Genomic DNA, 18,114 nt, shown 5'->3' with positions numbered 1-18,114 from the left:
TTTCAAAGCATGTTGGCAGAGTGGCCTGCTGAGTGTCCGATTTCTCAGTGTGTGGGTTGGGCCTGTTGTTTTGTATGCATAGCTTGGGGTGTTGATTTTTGTTCATTTGTTGGTTGGTGTGTTTTTCTGCCAAAAAAAAACTGTTAATCCACCCTACAAGAAAGGAAGGTTAGGGAAAGGGGGGACACAGTTGGAAAAAGGAATCACATTTTTCCCTTTCCTAAATAGACCCCAGACCCACATCTGCCTCTAATATTGGCAAAAGTATAAATGAAGGCAGTTGGTCAGCACCCCACCTTCTCTTCCCCTCTCAGGTCCACCAGCAGGCACTGAACAAACACTTCAGCCCGCATGCCCAAACTCTGTGTAAAGGCCGCTAATAAGAGCCACCCCTTAGCTATCCCTGAGGCCTCAGTGACCTCACCACAGACGGGACAGATGGGAAGAGGTTCACACAGCCCTGGAAGAGGCTGGGACATTTGAGCAGGGAATTCTGGGCCCTGGGTTACGAACCATGCACCAAAAGGAGGACTGGCCCTGGGTGGCACACAGACAAGGCCCATGAACTTCTTGTCCTATGGGGCGGGGCCAGCCCCACCAAGACCAGGGCAGGGCACCTAAAACCACAGCCCAGGGTTGCACCCTGAGAGAATAAAAGAGACTACCGGGGCAGAGCGGATCCTAGAAGGGAGAGGCACTATGGGGCCAGCCTCTTTCTGAAGCCCCACCCAGAGAAGCACCCTTTGCTGGAAAAGAAAACAGCAGAAGCCAAGGTAAGGGGCCATCACCCAGCAAAAGCATCCCGTGTCAGAGAGGGAAAGAGCAGCCACAGCCATGAAGCTGGCCAGTGCATGGCTTCCTTAGACAGAAGTCTCAGGGAGCCCCATTCAGGCCTGCATAAGCCCCCGGGATTCCAGCAAGACATGATGGAGGAGGTGGGCTCCCAGCAGTGGACCCTGGACTCCTGCTAGTCATAGCTGAGGACAGCGGGCCTGGGGCAGGGTTGGGAGAGCTGTGGCTGCTTACAGACTTATTCCAGGAAAGCAGAAATGTGCTGTACTTTGCCTCGTTGCACTCACCTACTTTAGGCCCCTTCCCAGTTCTGCCACCCCATTCTCACTCTTACATACACAGAGCTCTTGAGTTTACTGTCTTTCATTTTAATGCCTAACATTTAAAAAAAACTTTTTATCATGGAGAAATTCAGACAAATGCAAAAGTAGGTTAAATAGCACAATGAACCCTCATGTACCCAGCACCAAGGTTCAGCAACCATCAATTAATTTATAGTCAATCTTGTTTTAACCAAAAACCCTACTTATTTCTCCCCTCTGATATTATTTTGAGGCAAATCCCAAATATTTGGTTTGGGATTGGTTTCGTCAATTAATATTTTGAGCTATACCTCAGAAACTGATTCCTTTAAATATATATATAACCTCAGTGCCTTCACCACATCTAGATAACACAAATTCCTAACATTATCAAGTATCTGGTCAGTGATCTCATTTCCAAGAGTCTCCTAAATACCACTTTTACCATAAAACTTAAAGTATAATAATAATAAAATTTAAAAAAAAATACCACTTTTACCTGCCTCGGGAGGGGCGCTGGCTGAAGCACAATCAAAAAGCAAGGGGTGATCGGGCATGGTGGCTCACGCCTCTAATCCCAGCACTTTGGGAGGCTGAGGAGGGCAGATTGCTTGAGGTCAGTAGTTCAAGACCAGCTTGGGCAACATGGTGAAACCTCGTCTCTACTAAAAATATGGAAATTAGCTGGGTGTGGTGGTGGGTGCCTGTAGTCCCAGCTACTCAGGAGGCTGAGGCAGGAGAATCACTTGAACCCGGGAGGTGGAGGTTGCAGTGAGCCGAGATCACACCACTGCACTCCAGCCTGGATGACAGAGCGAGACTCCATCTCAACAAAAAAAGAAAGGGGCATGAAGTAAGACAGGAAAACATGTGACCCTGCTTGTGGCCAGGACCAGGCTGGTGGCAAAGTTTCAAATGGGGGACAAAAGGGTGAGAGATGGCTGGGCACAGTGGCTCATGCCTGTAATCCCAATACTTTGGGAGACCGAGGCAGGCCGATCACAAGGTCAGGAGTTTGAGACCAGCCTGGCCAACATGGTGAAACCCCATCTCTACTAAAAATACAAAAATTAACTGGCAGGTGCCTGTAATCCCAGCTACTTGGGAGGCTGAGGCAGGAGAATCGTTTGAACCCGGGAGGCAAAGGTTGCAATAAGCAGAGATCATGCCTTTGCACTCCAGCCTGGGTAACAGGGCAAGACTCCGTCTCCAAAAAAAAAAAAAAAAAAAAAAAAAGGAAAGAAAAGGAAAAGAGAAGAAAAAGAGAGATGCCCAGAGATAACCGGGGCCAGGGGCAAGTGGGGAGCAGAGAGGGACAAAATTCTCTCCCACTCTGGAAAGGTGAGGTTCAGATGAGGAGGGACTGTCAGAGAACAGCCAAATGACTTTTTCTTCCTGAGAGTTGGGTATTCTTTTTATCATCAGCGAGCAGAAGTGCTCAACTTGGCAGGTTCTGAGGATGAGATTAAATTTCCTCATGAGGCAATCATTGTGATGGTGGCAGGGGAGAGGGGGCAGGAAAGGAAGTTAGATTTGATTAGGGAATAACTGTCAAGGCCTAGCTCTGCCCCTTAGGAAAGCGAGATTCAAGGAGGAAAGGGTAGGATTTTGCCCTCACACCAACCTAGCCTTAAGGCCTGCTGCCACCAGTTACTAGCTGTGTGGGCTCGCAAGCTGCTTAACCTTTTTGAGCCTGTTTCCTCATCTCTACAATTATGAAACAGGAAAAATAAAAGGCCCCTAGAGAATTAGATTCAGGAAGTTGTGGAAAGTGCCCAGTTAGTCAGAATGGGAAGGAGCCTGCTTGTTGGTTCCTTCTCTACCTTCCGTCTTCTCCCTTGACATCTAGATCCAATCCCTGTACAGTTGAGGACACCAGCCTCTGCAGGGATCCCTGAAGACAGATTCTCAGTCATTGTCAACCACACCACCTGGTCCAGGTAGCTTTCCCACTGTTGGGAACTCCAGGCTTTCTCCTCCACTCTAGAAAGCCTGGGTGAATGCAAGTGAGGCTGCAGGGAATGTTGTCTGAGACTGGGATGGGATGGGATGGGATGGGATGGGATGGGATGGGATGGGATAGCTAAGGACAACCGTGGTGGCAGGCCACTTGAGAAGACAGGAGAGACCACAGGTCTGAGACTTCAGAGTAATCAGATAGCCCTGGAAGCTCTGAGAAGGTGGGGGCATTGGCCCAGCACTTCAGGGGGCTATAACCCATGCAGTCACACAGGCTCCATGAGTAGAAGGGCCCTGAACTTGGTTTAACTGCTGTCTACTGTTGTCATCTTGAAATTCTTAAAATTTTTGAACAAGGGCCCCATGTGTTTATTTTATTTATTTGTTTGTTTGTTTTTTACAGACAATAAAAAGTATGTTGTTTACGGACAGGGTTTCACTCTGTCACCCAGGTGAGAGTGCAGTGATGCAATCATAGCTCACTGCAACCTCAACCTTTTGGGCTCAAGCCATCCTCCCACCCCAGCCTCCCTAGTAGCTGGGGCTACAGGCACGCACCACCATGTCTGGCTAATTTTTTTTTAATTTTTGGCAGAGACAGGGTCTGGCTATGTTGCCCAGGCTGGTCTCAAACTCATGGTCTCAAGTGGTCTTCCTGAGTTGCCTCTCAAAGTGCTGGGATTATAGATGTGAGTCACTGTGCCTGGCCCCACATGTTTTTACACTGGGGCCTGAAAATCATGTTTCCAAAACTGCCCAGCACCAACCTGCCAGCTCTGGGAATTCCAGCTCAGCATCCCTGAGCACCCCAGGTGAAGAAGTGGAGAAAGGAGGGGGTTTCTAGAGCAAGTGTTTACAAGGAGACAGAAAATTGAGGGGCCAGCAAGAAAGTGGTTCAAGTGATCAACCGAGAAGGCATCTAGGATGGGTGGAGTCAGCAGGGGACTGATGTATCAGAGGAAAAGGAAAGAGTCTGGGATCTGGGGGTCTTACACATAGACACCACTAGTTGGAGCAGAGGTAGAAGTGTGATTGCACCAGAAGGACAGGGAGCTGGCTAGTCTGGGGCCACAAAAACCAGAGTTTAGGGGAAGATCAGGCAAGCTGTGGCTGTTGATCATGGGACCAGGCTGAGGATGGGAACCGGTGGGAGGATGGGAGCAGTGTCCAAGCAGCAAGTGGAGCACAGTCCCTGATATTCAGAAATTTAGGCAGGCAGGCAGCACCAGAGAAGTTGGCACTAAGGACAAGGGTCCCAGCCACTGTGCAGGGATTCAAGGACAAGACTGGAGTGGGGTGTGCCCAAGCCCTAGAGGGACTCGGGCCTGGACAGGCTCTCAGAACCGAGGCCAGAGCACCAGTGTCCCCATGCCTCCCCCAGAAAAACCCATAACAAGAGCGGCACACAAGAAAAGGGCCAGGTGGGCTGTCTGGGAAGGCCAGCATCTCCTTTGCCACGGCTCCTCCCATGGGTGCCCATTGTTACTCTGTCCATCATTACCGTTTGGCACAACCATCCCCCACAACACCTTTTTCACCCACAACACTTTTTTCTCCCTTGATAGCCTGGAGGCTTCTGAAAGGGAGACACTTTCTCCCCTTTACCTGCTCATCCCCAACACTAAGCAAGGTGTTTGGCACATAGTAAGTGCTTAATAAATGGTGTCTGGCTGGCTGAGCGCGGGCCAGCTGGAACACGGATGGTAGCCCTGCTGGACATTGAGAGGGAGGCAGGGGTGCATAAAAGGGGCATCTGCCAGCTCTGGTATAGACCGCCTGGGTTCTAACCATGCCTCTGCTACTGCTAAATGGACCATCTCGGCCAAGTTATCCAACCTCTGCCCCTATGTTTCCTCATTATAAAATGGAAATTTTTATTTTGTATTATCTTATGTACCTTTGAGTAAATGTGTACATAGCAGTTAGAATAGTGCTGGACAGCACTTTAGGAGGCGGGGGCGGGAGGATCACTAGGTCAGGTGATCCAGACCATCCTGGCCAACACGGTGAAACCCCGTCTCTACTAAAAATACAAAAAATTAGCCGGCCTTCGTCATGGGCTCCTGTAATCCCAGCTACTCGAGAGGCTGAGGCAGGAGAATCGCTTGAACCCGGGAGGCGGGGGTTGCTGTCAACCCAGATCGCGCCATTGCACTCCAGCCTGGGCGACAGAACGAGACTCCGTCTCAAAAAAAAAAAAAAGTACTGGACGTGCCACGCACTTGCTAACACTATCATTAATATGACAGGTAAATAACATCTTTGTGTGGCGTGTTGCAGCTGTCACAGCCGCCAGCAGACAGCCGACTCCCTCACCAGTAAACACCGCGGCTTAGGTGTTGCCCACCGGGCACCGGAAGGCGGCCCCCTTCTCGCTCTCCAGTGAATGTTCCTAAAACAACTGCGGGGTCCAAGAGCACAGGGAGAACAGCGCCCCTGACGCAGGCTGCGCACCCGCCCGGAGGAGGCAGTGCGTCAGTCCTGAGGTCACCGCCACCCGCTCCCGGGGGACGGCCGCCTGGGCAGGTGAGGAGGCGACCACCTCCCAGACGCCTGCCGGAGCTGCGGCGCACCGACTCCCTGCTTCTCCGAGCGGCGAGCGCCACCTGGAGGCTCCCTCGAGATCTGCATTTAGGAGGCGACGGGTCCTTTCATCGTTTTATTCATTAAACATTTATCGAGGCCTGGAGCGATGGTTCAAGCCTGTAATCCCAGCACTTTGGGAGACCGAGACGGGCGGATCACTTGAGGTCAGGAGTTGGAGACCAGCCTGGCCAACATGGCGAAACCCCATCTCTACTAAAAATACAAAAATTAGCCGGGCACGGTGGCGCACACCTGTAATCCCAGCTACTCATGATGAGGCTGAGGCACAAGAATCGCTTGAACCCGAGAGGCGGAAGTTGCAGTGAGCGGAGATGGAGCCACTGTGTGTTAGGCTCTGGCGACGTGGGGAGAAATAAAGATAATGTCTTGTTTCCCAGGGCATTAATAGCGTGATGGGGAAGACAGGCCATCAACAATGTGCAACACTAAGGGCTAGGAAAGAGGTGGATACAAAGGAGGGAATAAGGAATGTGGTCATTCCTTAAGGTGTTTATTGGTGCCAGGTACTGTTCAAGGCACCAAAAAGAATGGAACCAAACAGAGATCCTGCTCCCAAAGAGCTCATAGTGGAAGGACAGCCAGACAAGCTTAGAATTACGGGACAGGCCTAAGAAGGAGCCAGACTGGGGACCAGAGGCGTCCGAAGGGAAGTCCAGGAAGTACCGCAGGAAAACGTGATATATATTAAATCTTAAAGAATGGGCAGGATTTTGCCAGGCTTAGTGACAAGATATCTTCCGTAAAATCGTGGAACTGAAAAGAAAGGATATAGGTTGAAGAAGGGCTAGTTCTGTGTCTGAAATAGAAGGAACATGAAAGAGAAGTGCTGGGACATGGGGCAAAAAAGGGAGTTTGGGGCCAGATCGTGAAAGCCTTGGTTTAACAGGTGAAAAGTTCAAATTTGATCCAGGTAGCTGGCAGAGTCAGAGGTTCTAAAGCAGAGACCTGCTCTATAGAAAGCTCACCATGAAGTACAGCAGTGATGGTGGATGAAGATACCAACAGCTCAACCTCCTATGTGCCAGGGAAATGCTGAGCGCTTAGCACCTGATATTTATCTTAATTCTCTAAATGGGCCTATGGGGTAAGCATATTATTATCCCAATTTTATTGGAATACTTCCCTGGTAGGGCCCCTAAACAGGTAGCCATCAAATGCCTGATAAATTCCAGCTAGCTTTAAATTCTAGTCGCTACAGAGCAGAGCCCTTCCATCGCACTGAGCTGAAGGAGCCAGATGGGCATTACAGACAAGACCCACTCAGTAGGTGAAATCAACAGAGCCTAATGACTATCTAGATCTGCAAGATGAAGAATAGGAAAGAGCTAAAGACAAGATTATGATGAAAAGTTTGATTTTGAAATAATACATTTTTAAGAGCTGAGAAAAACCGTATCCATCATCCAGAACAACCGCCTATTCTACCCACACTCCCAGCACCACATCAGTACACGTGTGCCTGTACTCACCATTCTGCCTTGCCTCCTGCTGGCATGGACGAGTGCTGCGTGTTCCTAAGTGCCACCTTCCGCTGTGCACTCGATCCCATCCTCGCGCCCACGCAAGAACATCGCTTCATCAATTGGTCCTTCTCTCACATATGAAATTTTTGGTCTTTCTACTGAGTCATTCCCATAAATATACATGTGTACTACAATTTCTCTCATCGTAAAAAATAATAAAAATATTTCCTTGACCTCAAATCTCATACCCCTGCCATTCAATTACACCAATCCTCTCCAAAAGAGTTATTTATACTCAAACTCCACTTTCTCTCCTCTCGTTCTTTCTTGAACCCACTTCAGTTTCATTCTCACAACTTCACCACAATTACTCTTCAGGTCCACATTGCAAATCCAACGGTCAGTTGAGAGTCCTCATCTTAGATGACCTGTCAGCAGACTTCCACACAGTTGAGCCTATTCACTCAAGTGCCTAAGGCTATGCACATTCTTCTCTACTGACACTCACTTCCTCGTGATCCTGCCTGGCCTCACGTTTACAACTCCGAATATATTCTTTCCAGCCTGAACTCTCCTCTGAACTTCAGACCCATACATCCCCAACTGCTGACTCAATATCTGCACGTGGATGCCTAATGCGTTCAAACGTAGCATGTCCAAAAGCAAATTCCTAATCCTCCCCCTTCAAACCTTTTGCTCCCATTTGCTCCCACAGCCTTTTCCATCTCAATAAATCAAAACTCTAATCTTCCAGTTGTTCAGAATAAATGCTGTCATCATGTTATCTGTATTTGTCGATATAAATTAGGTGATGCTTCCGTAGCAAAGAACCCCAAAAACACCACAAATGTTCATGTTTTTGCTGATGTCCAGGCTGAGTTGACAGGAGACTCTACTCATCAGTTTCACTGAGGGACTAAGGCTGACGGAGGCTGTATCTTGACAAAATGTTTTCATGTTTTTAGAGACAGGGGAAGGTGCATGTTGCAGGGTCTTGCACTTGCAGTGAAATGCTTCTGCCCAGAAGCCCCGTGCACCTCTTCTGCTTACATTTTATTGTCCAAAACAAGTCATATGGCCACACCTAACTTAAAGGAGGGTTGGAAGCACAAACTTACTAAGTGCCCAAAAAAGAAAACAACTGGCTGGACACGGTGGCTCACACCTATAATCCCAGCACTTTGGGAGGCCGAGGCAGGCGGATCATGAGGTCGGGAATTCAAGACCAGCCTGGCCAACATGGTGAAACCCCATCTCTAATAAAAATACAAAAATGAGCTGGGCTTGGTGGCAGGTGCTTGTAATACCAGCTACTCTAGAGGCTGAGGCAGAGAATTGTTTGAACCCGGGAGGCAGAGGTTGCAGTGAGCTGAGATTGTGCCACTGCACTCCAACCTGGATGACAGAGCAAGACTCCATCTCAAAAAAAAAAAAAGAAAACAACCAAAATATTTGTGAACAGCTCTAATGATGACCACATCATGCTCAACTCCTTTTTTGCCCCTCCCTTTGCACATGCAATCCACCAGCAAAACTTTTCTGACTTTCCAAAATTATCCAGAAATCTGACCTCTTCTCCAGCTCCTCCAAAGCACCAACATCTTTCATCTGGGTCATTACAATAGCCTTTACTGGACCCCCAGCTCCTGCCCTTGCCTCCTCCCACCCCCTACAGCCTGTTCTCCACACAACACCAGAGCAATTCTTTTAAACATGTAACTCCACTCTCAAACCCCTCTAATATTTCCTATGTGACTGAGCACGAAAGCCAGAGACCTTCCAGTGACCCATGATGCTACACAACCTGCCCACTTTGTCCCCACTTCTGGAAACTAATCTCCTGCCAGCTTCCTCTTCAGTCCCTCTTGTCCAGCCACACAGGGCCCCAGTTCTTCCTGGGACGTCAAGCATGCTCAGCCTCAAGGCCTTTGCACCCACTGTTTCTTCTTCCTGGAATGCTCTCCCCAGGTAACCATATGCCTTTCTCCTTCAGGCCTCTGCTCAAATATCTCCTCCTAGAAGCTTTCCCTGATCACCTTATGTAAAATCACACACATGCACATACACACTCCACTCACACCTCCCTGCCCCCTATCCTGTTTTATTTCTCTTCATAGACCTTGTCACTGTCTGGCACATTATATGTTTAATTTGCTTAATATCTGTTTCCCCACTAGAATACACATTTTATGCAGGCAGGAATTTTCTTTTGTCACTACTGCATCTCCAATGCTTAGAATAAAAATGTGTCAAACGTGAAGAAGTGAGGCCCAAGGCTGGTCAGTGCAGAGCTTGAAGTAAACTGTAGCTCTCTGGACCCTCTGTCCAGGGCACCTCTCCGTGGTGCCATGAGGCATTTGTGAAAGGATGTAGTAGGACACACATCGCTTGGGGAATGAAGAGCTGGTGGGTTACCTAAGCCAGAGCTAATACCAGAGTGTGGGAAACTGGAGTGACTGCTCCACATTTTGCACTGAAGTCCCTCCCTGTGGGATGTGGCTGTGGGCAGTGGCTGGGGGGAAACCCTCAGAGCTCCGTTCTGTATGCTGAAGAAACCACATGCAGACACCCGGGAAGGATGACTCAGTCTAGTGGTGATCCTTGTGATTGGTACCCAAGGGGCTACCAGGCTTCTTATTATTAACATGGTGGAAATTAAATGAGACTTAATGCAGGGAAATGTTTGTGGGAAGAGACATTGTGTTGATCAAGCAACCAGCATTCTCCAGCTGCTCCATCCCAGCACCTGCTCTGCTCCCAGCTCCACCTCAGCCTTGCCTCTGGTCTCATCCTCAGACCCAGAAGCAGCATCTCGCCCTCCTGCCCCAGCAGAGCCTGGCCTGACCACAGGCCCCAGCACCAAATGCTGGCCCTTCCCCAATGTGTGTTCTGTGTTGTCTGGCCTCACCTCACCATTTTGTCCTCAGTGATGGGCAGCCACAAGAAGTGGCAGAGCAAGAGCACAGCCAGAGTTGTCGGGATCCTGCTGGAAACAGCAGGCACATGCTCCCGTTGGAACAGGAAGGCATCAGCTGCTTTTCAGTGCCAGCCAGTGAGTGAAAGGTGAGGGATTTACTAAGAACATGTACAAGTTGACCAAGAAAATGGCTCCAAGCGAGCTCAGCTGGGCTGACACTGCCTGTGCTGGCCTGTGAGCCCCACACCTGGAGGCCCAACCCATCCCCTCAATGTGGACACGGATTCAGAATAGCCACATGAGCATCAAGCCTGCATCAGCACCTCCATGAGGTCCCTGGGAAGACCTGGACGTGGTATTCAGGCCTCTGACCGTGAAATATATGTGTCCTGACACCAAATGCATCAGAGTTGACCTGATTACAAACCTGTTTCAGGCCCACCGGGTGATCCAGGACATCTGGCTAGTAATTGTCCCCCTCTCACATCATCACTGATTACTGTTCTCAGTCAATCTCTCTCTCTCTCTCTCTTCTTCTCTCCCTCTACCTTCATCACTTCCATCAGAATAAAACATGCTGGTAATTTCTCTCATCTCTTAAAAAAAAAAAAACCCTATTGGCCTTACATCCCACCCACACCTCTATCTGATTTCTCTGCTGATCTTTATTCTAAACTCCCCTAAGTCTCAACAGTGCTCATGGCTCTCATCTCCATCTCTGCCTTCAGTAATCCACACCAGGGTTTCTCCCCCCCAACTTGCCCAAAACTCCCCTGGTCCAGGTCAACACTTAACTCCTCTCTGCCCAATGCCCTAGTCAGCCCTCAGCCACATCCACTCCACCCTGCCCACATTTGACACAGATGATGGCGCGTGCCCCCTCCTTGATGACATGGTGTCCGACACATCAGTCCCCAGAACACCCCTTTCTTCTCTTCTCCCATTCTAGCTGCATCTGCATGGCCCCTTTTCTGCCTCTTCTTTCCTACCTCTTAATTTTGGAAATCCCCAAGATTTAGTAGTACTAAATCTCTGTCTCTTACTCATATTCATTTTTAAGGTGATCTCACACACTTCTGTGATTTTAATATTTATCAATTTAAGACTCCATAATTTTCAACTCTACCTTAATACTGTCCTGAACTTCAGTCCCTCCATGACTCAACTACCTATGCAACATCTCTGTGTGAACATGAAATTAGCAGCACAAACTTAACACACCCAAAAGTTTCTCCTTGCTTTCCTTTCTTCCTCCCTCCTTCCTTTCTTCCTTGCCATCTTTTTTCCATTCCTTCCATCTTCCTATCCTTCCTCCTTTTTTTTCCTTTTCCTTTTTTATCCTTTCTTTTTTGCTTCTTATAATAGGGAATTTCTAACATCCACAAAAATAGACAGACAGACTTGTATAGTGAATCCCCACATACCCATCACACAGGTTCAGCAATTGCTAACTCATGGTCAATCTTGTCTCTTTTCCCTCCGGCCTGAATTATTTTGAAGCCAGTCCTATAGATGTTGCATCATTTCATCTGTATATATTTCAGTTTGCATCTCAAAAAGATAAGGCCTCGTTTCTAAACATAACTATCATACTATTATTATATTCATTTAAAAAATCTTAACATCTCTAATAACCACAGTGTTCAAATTTCTCATTGTCTCATAATTTTTGTAAGTTTGATTCAAAATCCAAATAAAGCCCACCCAGTGTAATGCATGATATATCTTTTACATCTCTTTTAATCTATAAGTTCTCTCTCCATCTCTTTTTTCTTTTCAATGTGCTTGTTGAAACAAGGTCCTAGAGACTTTTCCTTACCTTACTTTTGCTGAATGCACCCCATGCTACAGTCTAACATGTCCCACCCCCTGCTCTAGTATCTGCAAATTGGTGTTTGGATTCTGGAGATGGTGGTATGGTCTCCCATCAAGAGGCACAAATTGTCTGCTTTTCTCTCTTTTTGCCGTATTCTGAGCAGTTTATGTTCACTGCCTGGGCCTATTACCTCATGAAGATTGCCAGATGGTGACATTCAAAACCTATCATTCTTCTTCATTCATTAACTGGGATCCTTCCATGCAAAGAAATGTCCCCTCATCTACTGCTTGGTTACCCTGAGGTAAAGTTTGTACAGGAAAGGCAGTACAAAATGGTTTTTCTTTCCATTTTTAACTAGTTTTTTAAATAATGAATTGATTCCCTGTCATTTTCTAAAAGATACCAATTATGAGACCAATGTTAATATCGCCATAAATTCATGGACCAAACACATTCGATGATGTTTCCATCCACTGTGGTTTTATCCTTTTGATGCTCACATTATCCCATTTTCAGCAAACGGGAGCTCCTCCTAGTTGGCTACTTAGTCCTGTTGACAGAACCCTAATCATCTTTGATAGTTTCCTTGCTATCTGGTACTTCAAGAAGCTCCAGGACATCTGGTCCATTTTCTGCCCCAGACTGTGGATCCGCAAACCTGGCAAATGGCGTTCAAGCCCACGGTCGGGGTGCTAGGGTCACTGTTGCTCCTGGGTTGGCTCAAAATAAGTCTCTTGATTTTCCCCTCAGAACTTGCACCTCCTTCAGTTTTCCCCATGTCTGTCGATGGCAGCTCCATTCTTTCATGGAATGGAGACCAAAAACCTTGGAGTCAGCCTTGAGTCTCTTTCCTTCACACATATATCCATTCTATCAGGAAATCTATTGGTTTCATCTTCAAAACACACCCAGACCCTGACCACTTCTTACGGCTGACGTCGCCACTCCCTGGTCTATCATCTCTCACCTGGCCTTCACAATCGCCTCATGACTGGTTTTTCTGTGTCTCCCTGTTGTCTCCATGGCAGCTAATGTACACTTTTTAAAATTTAACTCAGACCTTGGCACTCTTTTGCTCAAAACCATTTCCAGTGGCTTCTCATTTCACTTAAAAATCCAAAAGTCGGCCAGGTACAGTGGCTCACCCCCATAATCCCAGCACTTTGGGAGGCCAAGACAAGCAGATCACTTGAGCCCAGAAGTTCAAGACAAGCCTAGGCAACATGACAAAACCCCGACTCTACAAAGTACCAAAAGATCAGCTGGGTATGGTTTTGCACGCTTGTAGGCCCAACTACACGGGAGGCTGGGGCAGAAGGATAGCCTCAGCCTGGGAGGTCAAGGCTGTAGTGAGCCATGTTTGTACCACTGCACCACAGCCTAAGCAACAGAGTGAGACACTGTCTTAAAAAAAAATGGTCATTTGCCACGTGCAGTGCCCAGTGCTGCATCCTGGGGTGCTATCTCTCAGCAGGGTCTGGGTCAGCATCTGGTGCGAAGTGGGGTGGATACCTGAGCACAGGGGTCGCAGCTGACTGGCAGTCACTGGGAGCCCTCCAAGAGGCCACTTGGGCTCAGAAATCAGGGGACCACATGGGCTGAAGACTGGAGGCTCTTTCTCAGGTGGTTCTGGCCTTGTCATCCCCCAGGGACTCTTGCTCCATCCTGGAGAATACCTGATTTGGGACATCAGATCCCCCTGGTGAGGGAGGGCTCAGAACTAGATCTAATCTGATTTCAGTAGTATGACATTTCTTGGATCCCAGTGTTTGTGCAGCAATTTCATACTTGCTTCATGCATAATGTGTATAAACTGAATAATAAACATGCACAAACCATTTTCCTGATATTTTCATCCTATGGAGCATAGGAAAATGGCCTTAGGGCAACATCAGGGGCTTAGAAATGTATAGAAAGTTGCCAAAGAAGGGGTCACCTGGTCCTGTTAGAGGTAGAATTCTGCTTGTATAGAAGGCGGAGCTGATTCCCTAGGATGATTCTGGAGCACCAAGGCGAGTATACTCCTGGCACAACTGAGCTATCAGAGAAGAAAAACACAACTGGAGGCTGAGTGCTGCATCCCCTACTCCAGTCCCAGGGTCAGCAGGCAGCTGCAGGTGGTCCTGACATTTCCCACTGCTTATTAAAAAGGAAAACATTTAATAAAACAAAACACACGCTTGTCGCTCAGCAGGTCCAGGCACTGCCAAGGATACTGATTCCCATTTACTTCAACGCTCCGATTGGTGCTTCTTGTCTGCTTTCCCTGGAAATGGGCTTGCAGACTGGAAAACAGAGTACAGTGAGAGAAAAAACCACGCTTATCCCAAAATGAAAGAAGGGGAAAGGCACACCCTCTCCAGATAATACTATGAGAAAGGCTTCACCCCAGCCCCTTCACACGTGAGATTCTGCACTCCCTCCAGGGATAGGTTTGTGGGATTCCCTGCGATGCTGACACCTGAGAGCCTGGACCACATCCCACAGTCCCAGGATTTTCAGGTATTCATGCCAGCAGCAGATGGAGCTTATAAATAACAATACAAATGTTCAAGTTGAGTGGGAGCTTAAATATCCTCATTTCTTTATTATTTTATTTATTTATTTATTTATTTTTTTGAGATGGAGTCTCACTCAGTCACCCAGGCTGGAGTGCAGTGGCACGATCTCAGCCCACCACAACCTCCATCTCCTGGGTTTAACCAATTCTCCTGCCTCAGCCTCCCGAGTAGCTGGGACTACAGACGCATGCCACCATGCCCAGCAATTTTTTGTATTTTTATTAGAGACAGGGTTTCACCATATTGGCCAGGCTGGTCTAGAACTCCTGGCCTCAGGTGACCCACCCACCTCAGCCTCCCAAAGTGCTGGGATTACAGGTGTGAGCCACTGCACCCAGCCAAATATCCTCATTTCATAGAACAGGATGGCAGGCCCAGAAGGTCAGGTGAACAACCCAGATGATGGGCAATGGCAAATGTTCCCTCTTGTCCACACCAGTGCTCTTACCCACCCAGGGCAGTGGGAGGCCTATGAGATCTCTGACATTGTTTTCAAACATGTTTGGAATCACAGGCAAGTAAAGACTACTGCTGTCCAAGAAGAAAATAAAGATCACCTGTAATTTTCCCATCCCAGAAATAACTTCTGTGAATGCTGTGGAATATATCTGCCTCTGTGCTTGCCTCTCCCCCTCCCTTCTAATTCTATGCTCAACACTAGAGAAAACAGTTTTCAAGCACATATATAAGGGTTATGACATTGTCCGTATACCAGGCCTCAAAGGATTACTTGATAAATTCCAAAGAATCAATGTCATACAGATCATGTTCTCAGACCAGAATGCCAAAAAATTAGAAATGAATAACAGAGGGATAGTTTATACAAACATATTACTGGAAACTAAATAATATATTTTAAAAGGTAAAAAAAAAAAAAAAGTATAGCAAATTGCTAGTTGCTTAGAGTATCAATGAAATGGCAATGTATCAAAATGTGTAGGACTTACAGCAGTAGATAGAAATTATAACTTCAAACACAAGTAAAACTGTAAATTCAAGAAGTTGGAATAAGATCAACAGAGCCAAGAAACAAGAAGGAAAAATAAGTAAAGAAAGGCAAAAATCAATAAAATGGAGAAGGAAAAAACAGAAAGAAATGACCAAATCAAAAGCTAATTATTTGAAAAGATTAGTGAAATAAAATTCTGGCAAGACTGATCGAGAAAAAGAGTGAGAAAGGCCAGGAACGGTGGCTCACGCCTGTAATCCCAGCACTTTGGGAGGCTGAGGCGGGCGGATCACAAGGTCGGGAGTTCAAGACCAGCCTGGCCAATATGGTGAAACCCCATTTCTACTAAAAATACAAAAATTAGCTGGGCGTGGTTGTGCGCACCTGTAATCCCAGCTACTCAGGAGGCTGAGCCAGGAGAATCGCTTGAACCTGGGAGGCGGAGGTTGCAGTGAGCCGAGATCACACTATTGCACTCCAGCCTGGAGCAATAGAGTGAGACTCCGTCTCAAAAAAAAAAAAAAGAAAAAAGAAAAAAAGAAAAAGAGTGAGAAAATGAAATTGCAATAGATAAAACCTACAATGAAAAAGGGGGAAAAACAATTACAGGCACAACAAAGATGAAAGAATAATGTAATTGCAGTAACCCTTCTGAAGTAACGTTGTCAAAATATCAAACCTAAACCTGATCATGGATTTGAGATGGGATAGTTCCTTTGACCCCCTTCATGGGCAGGAACTGGAGTGGCTCGTTTCACTCAGCCCGTCACTGGCCACTCCTCGCATGGGGGAGCGTAAGAGCAAGCGGGTGCAGGAACCCAAGCAAACGAACCCCAGAACCCGCCGGTCGCTCCTCTCTGGAGGGAGCAGGCTCTATGCATGCTACACAGCAGTGTCCATGCATGTTTCAACCAGCGCTCTTTCAGCTCTGCCGTCCAGGTACGGCCAAGTGCCAACCAGCTCAGTGGAGAGTCAGGGTGGTAGCCCCTGCCCTCTTGGCACCTGAGTTCTCGTTTGGCGTCCAGGAAGAATCAGCTCACACGAACCGTTTGAAAGGTGATGAATGCGGAAGACTTCATTGAGCGGTGGGTGGCTCTCAGCGGAAAGGGAGGCTGGAAAGCAGATGGGAACGTGAGCTTTCTCTGAAGCCCGGCAGTCTCCGGCCAGGTCCCTCTCTGAAGCCGCACCGTCTGAAGTTAGCCGCATCTATCCATTGTCTCTGACACTCAGCTGCGTGTATCCTCGCCGCTCAGCCGCTTCTATTGCGCTGCCAGCTGAAGTCTTTTATGGGCACAGGATAGGGGCGGGGCAGGCCAAAAAGGCAACATTTGCTTGGAAAACCAGGATCACCTGTTTTCACTTAGGGCGGTGGTTCCTGGCTTAGGGGTGGGGTTTAGCTGGGAGCCCAGCCCTTCTGTATCAGATTGAGATTTAACTACCAATTTACAGGAATACAGAGGACAAGGGAACGTGTCAAACTAGAGATGCAATCATAGGAAACTCTGGGAGGAAAACAGAAAGCTGAAAAGAAACAGAGGTTATGAGAAATTAAAAGGCAGGTCTGCCAAGTGCAATGTGTAAACTTTGGATTCTGATTCAAATGACAAAGTTATCTCCCCCGCCAAAAAAAAAAAAAAAGACATTTGTGAGAAAATTGGAAGTTTAAACACTAATGGGGAGTTTCTTGATGTTGATAAATTATTATCTGGGGAGGAGGTAATGACACTGTGAACAGGTTGAAAAAGAGTCTTTGTCTTTTGAAGATTTTTACCGGAGCATTTGCAGGTGTCATTATACAATGTCAGAGATTTACTTCAAAGAATTGTGAGGGGATGTGGGCGGGGCTCTAGATGAAACAACATTGGCCATGAATTGATAACTGCTGAAGCACCAGAGGTTTATCAATCCACTTTTGAATGTATTCGAAATTTTCTAAAAAAAAAAAAAGTTTTTAGAGTATTATGAACAACTGTATCCAAATAATGTGAAACTTTAGATATTATAGACAACTTTGTGGGGAAATACTAAATGCCAAGATATAGTATACTTGAATAGACTAACAAGCATTAAAGAAATTGAAACGCTAATCATAGCTCCTCTCCCTAAAGCCCAGATAGCTTTACAAATATGCTCTACCTGTCTTCAAGAGACAGATTTTTTTATCTCACAAATTGTTGCAGCAAGTGAAAAAGAGAAAATTGTCCAGCCTTTTTTATGAAGCTAATGTAATCTTGATTCAAAACTAGATTGGGCCAATACAAAAAAAAAAAAAAATTACATGCTCATTGTATTTCTGAATAAGTGATATGGTTTGGCTGTGTCCCCACCCAAATCTCAAATTGAATTGTATCTCCCAGAATTCCCACGTGTTGTGGGAGGGACCCAGGGAGAGGCAATTAAATCATGGGGGTTGGTCTTTCCTGTGCTATTCTCATGATAGTGAATAAGTCTCACGAGATCTGATGGGCTTATCAGAGGTTTCTGCTTTTGCTTCTTCCTCTTTTTTTTTTTTTTTTTTTTTAGACAGAGTCTTGCTTTGTCACCCAGGCTGGAGTGCAGTCGCTCAATCTTGGCTCACTGCAACCTCCGCCTCCCAGGTTCAAGCAATTCTCCTGCCTCAGCCTCCTGAGTAACTAGGATTACAAGCACCCGCCATCACATCTGGCTAATTTTTGTATTTTTAGTAGAGACAATTTCACCATGTTGGCCAGGCTGGTCTTGAACTCCTGACCTCATGATCTACTC

The 18,114-nt window shown here is 47.0% G+C and overlaps 2 long non-coding RNA genes across 7 annotated transcripts in view; one reads left to right on the top strand and one right to left on the bottom strand.

Annotated features, from left to right (window-relative positions):
- Positions 1-7,363, top strand: part of LOC105374809 (uncharacterized) — a 40,654-nt gene extending 33,291 nt beyond the window's left edge. For 3 of the 4 annotated variants that reach the window (NR_187883.1, NR_187881.1, NR_187882.1), the window contains one exon: positions 5,303-7,363. This is a non-coding gene — a long non-coding RNA (uncharacterized LOC105374809). Of the gene's footprint in view, positions 1-314; positions 774-5,302 lie in introns of all 4 variants that reach the window. The other variant, NR_187884.1, reaches the window with a different exon arrangement.
- Positions 1-16,628, bottom strand: part of LINC01291 (long intergenic non-protein coding RNA 1291) — a 34,534-nt gene extending 17,906 nt beyond the window's left edge. For 2 of the 3 annotated variants that reach the window (NR_125792.2, NR_189601.1), the window contains exon 1: positions 16,416-16,628. This is a non-coding gene — a long non-coding RNA (long intergenic non-protein coding RNA 1291). Of the gene's footprint in view, positions 1-7,129; positions 7,594-16,415 lie in introns of those variants that run through there. The other variant, NR_189602.1, reaches the window with a different exon arrangement.
- Positions 16,629-18,114: the final 1,486 nt, after the last annotated feature.

The sequence above is a fragment of the Homo sapiens genome, chromosome 2 (assembly GCF_000001405.40).
Source record: "Homo sapiens chromosome 2, GRCh38.p14 Primary Assembly".
Classification (NCBI taxonomy): Eukaryota; Metazoa; Chordata; class Mammalia; order Primates; family Hominidae; genus Homo; species Homo sapiens.
The sequence above is the reverse complement of the archived record's forward strand: the minus strand, read 5'-3'. Positions and strand labels throughout refer to the sequence as shown.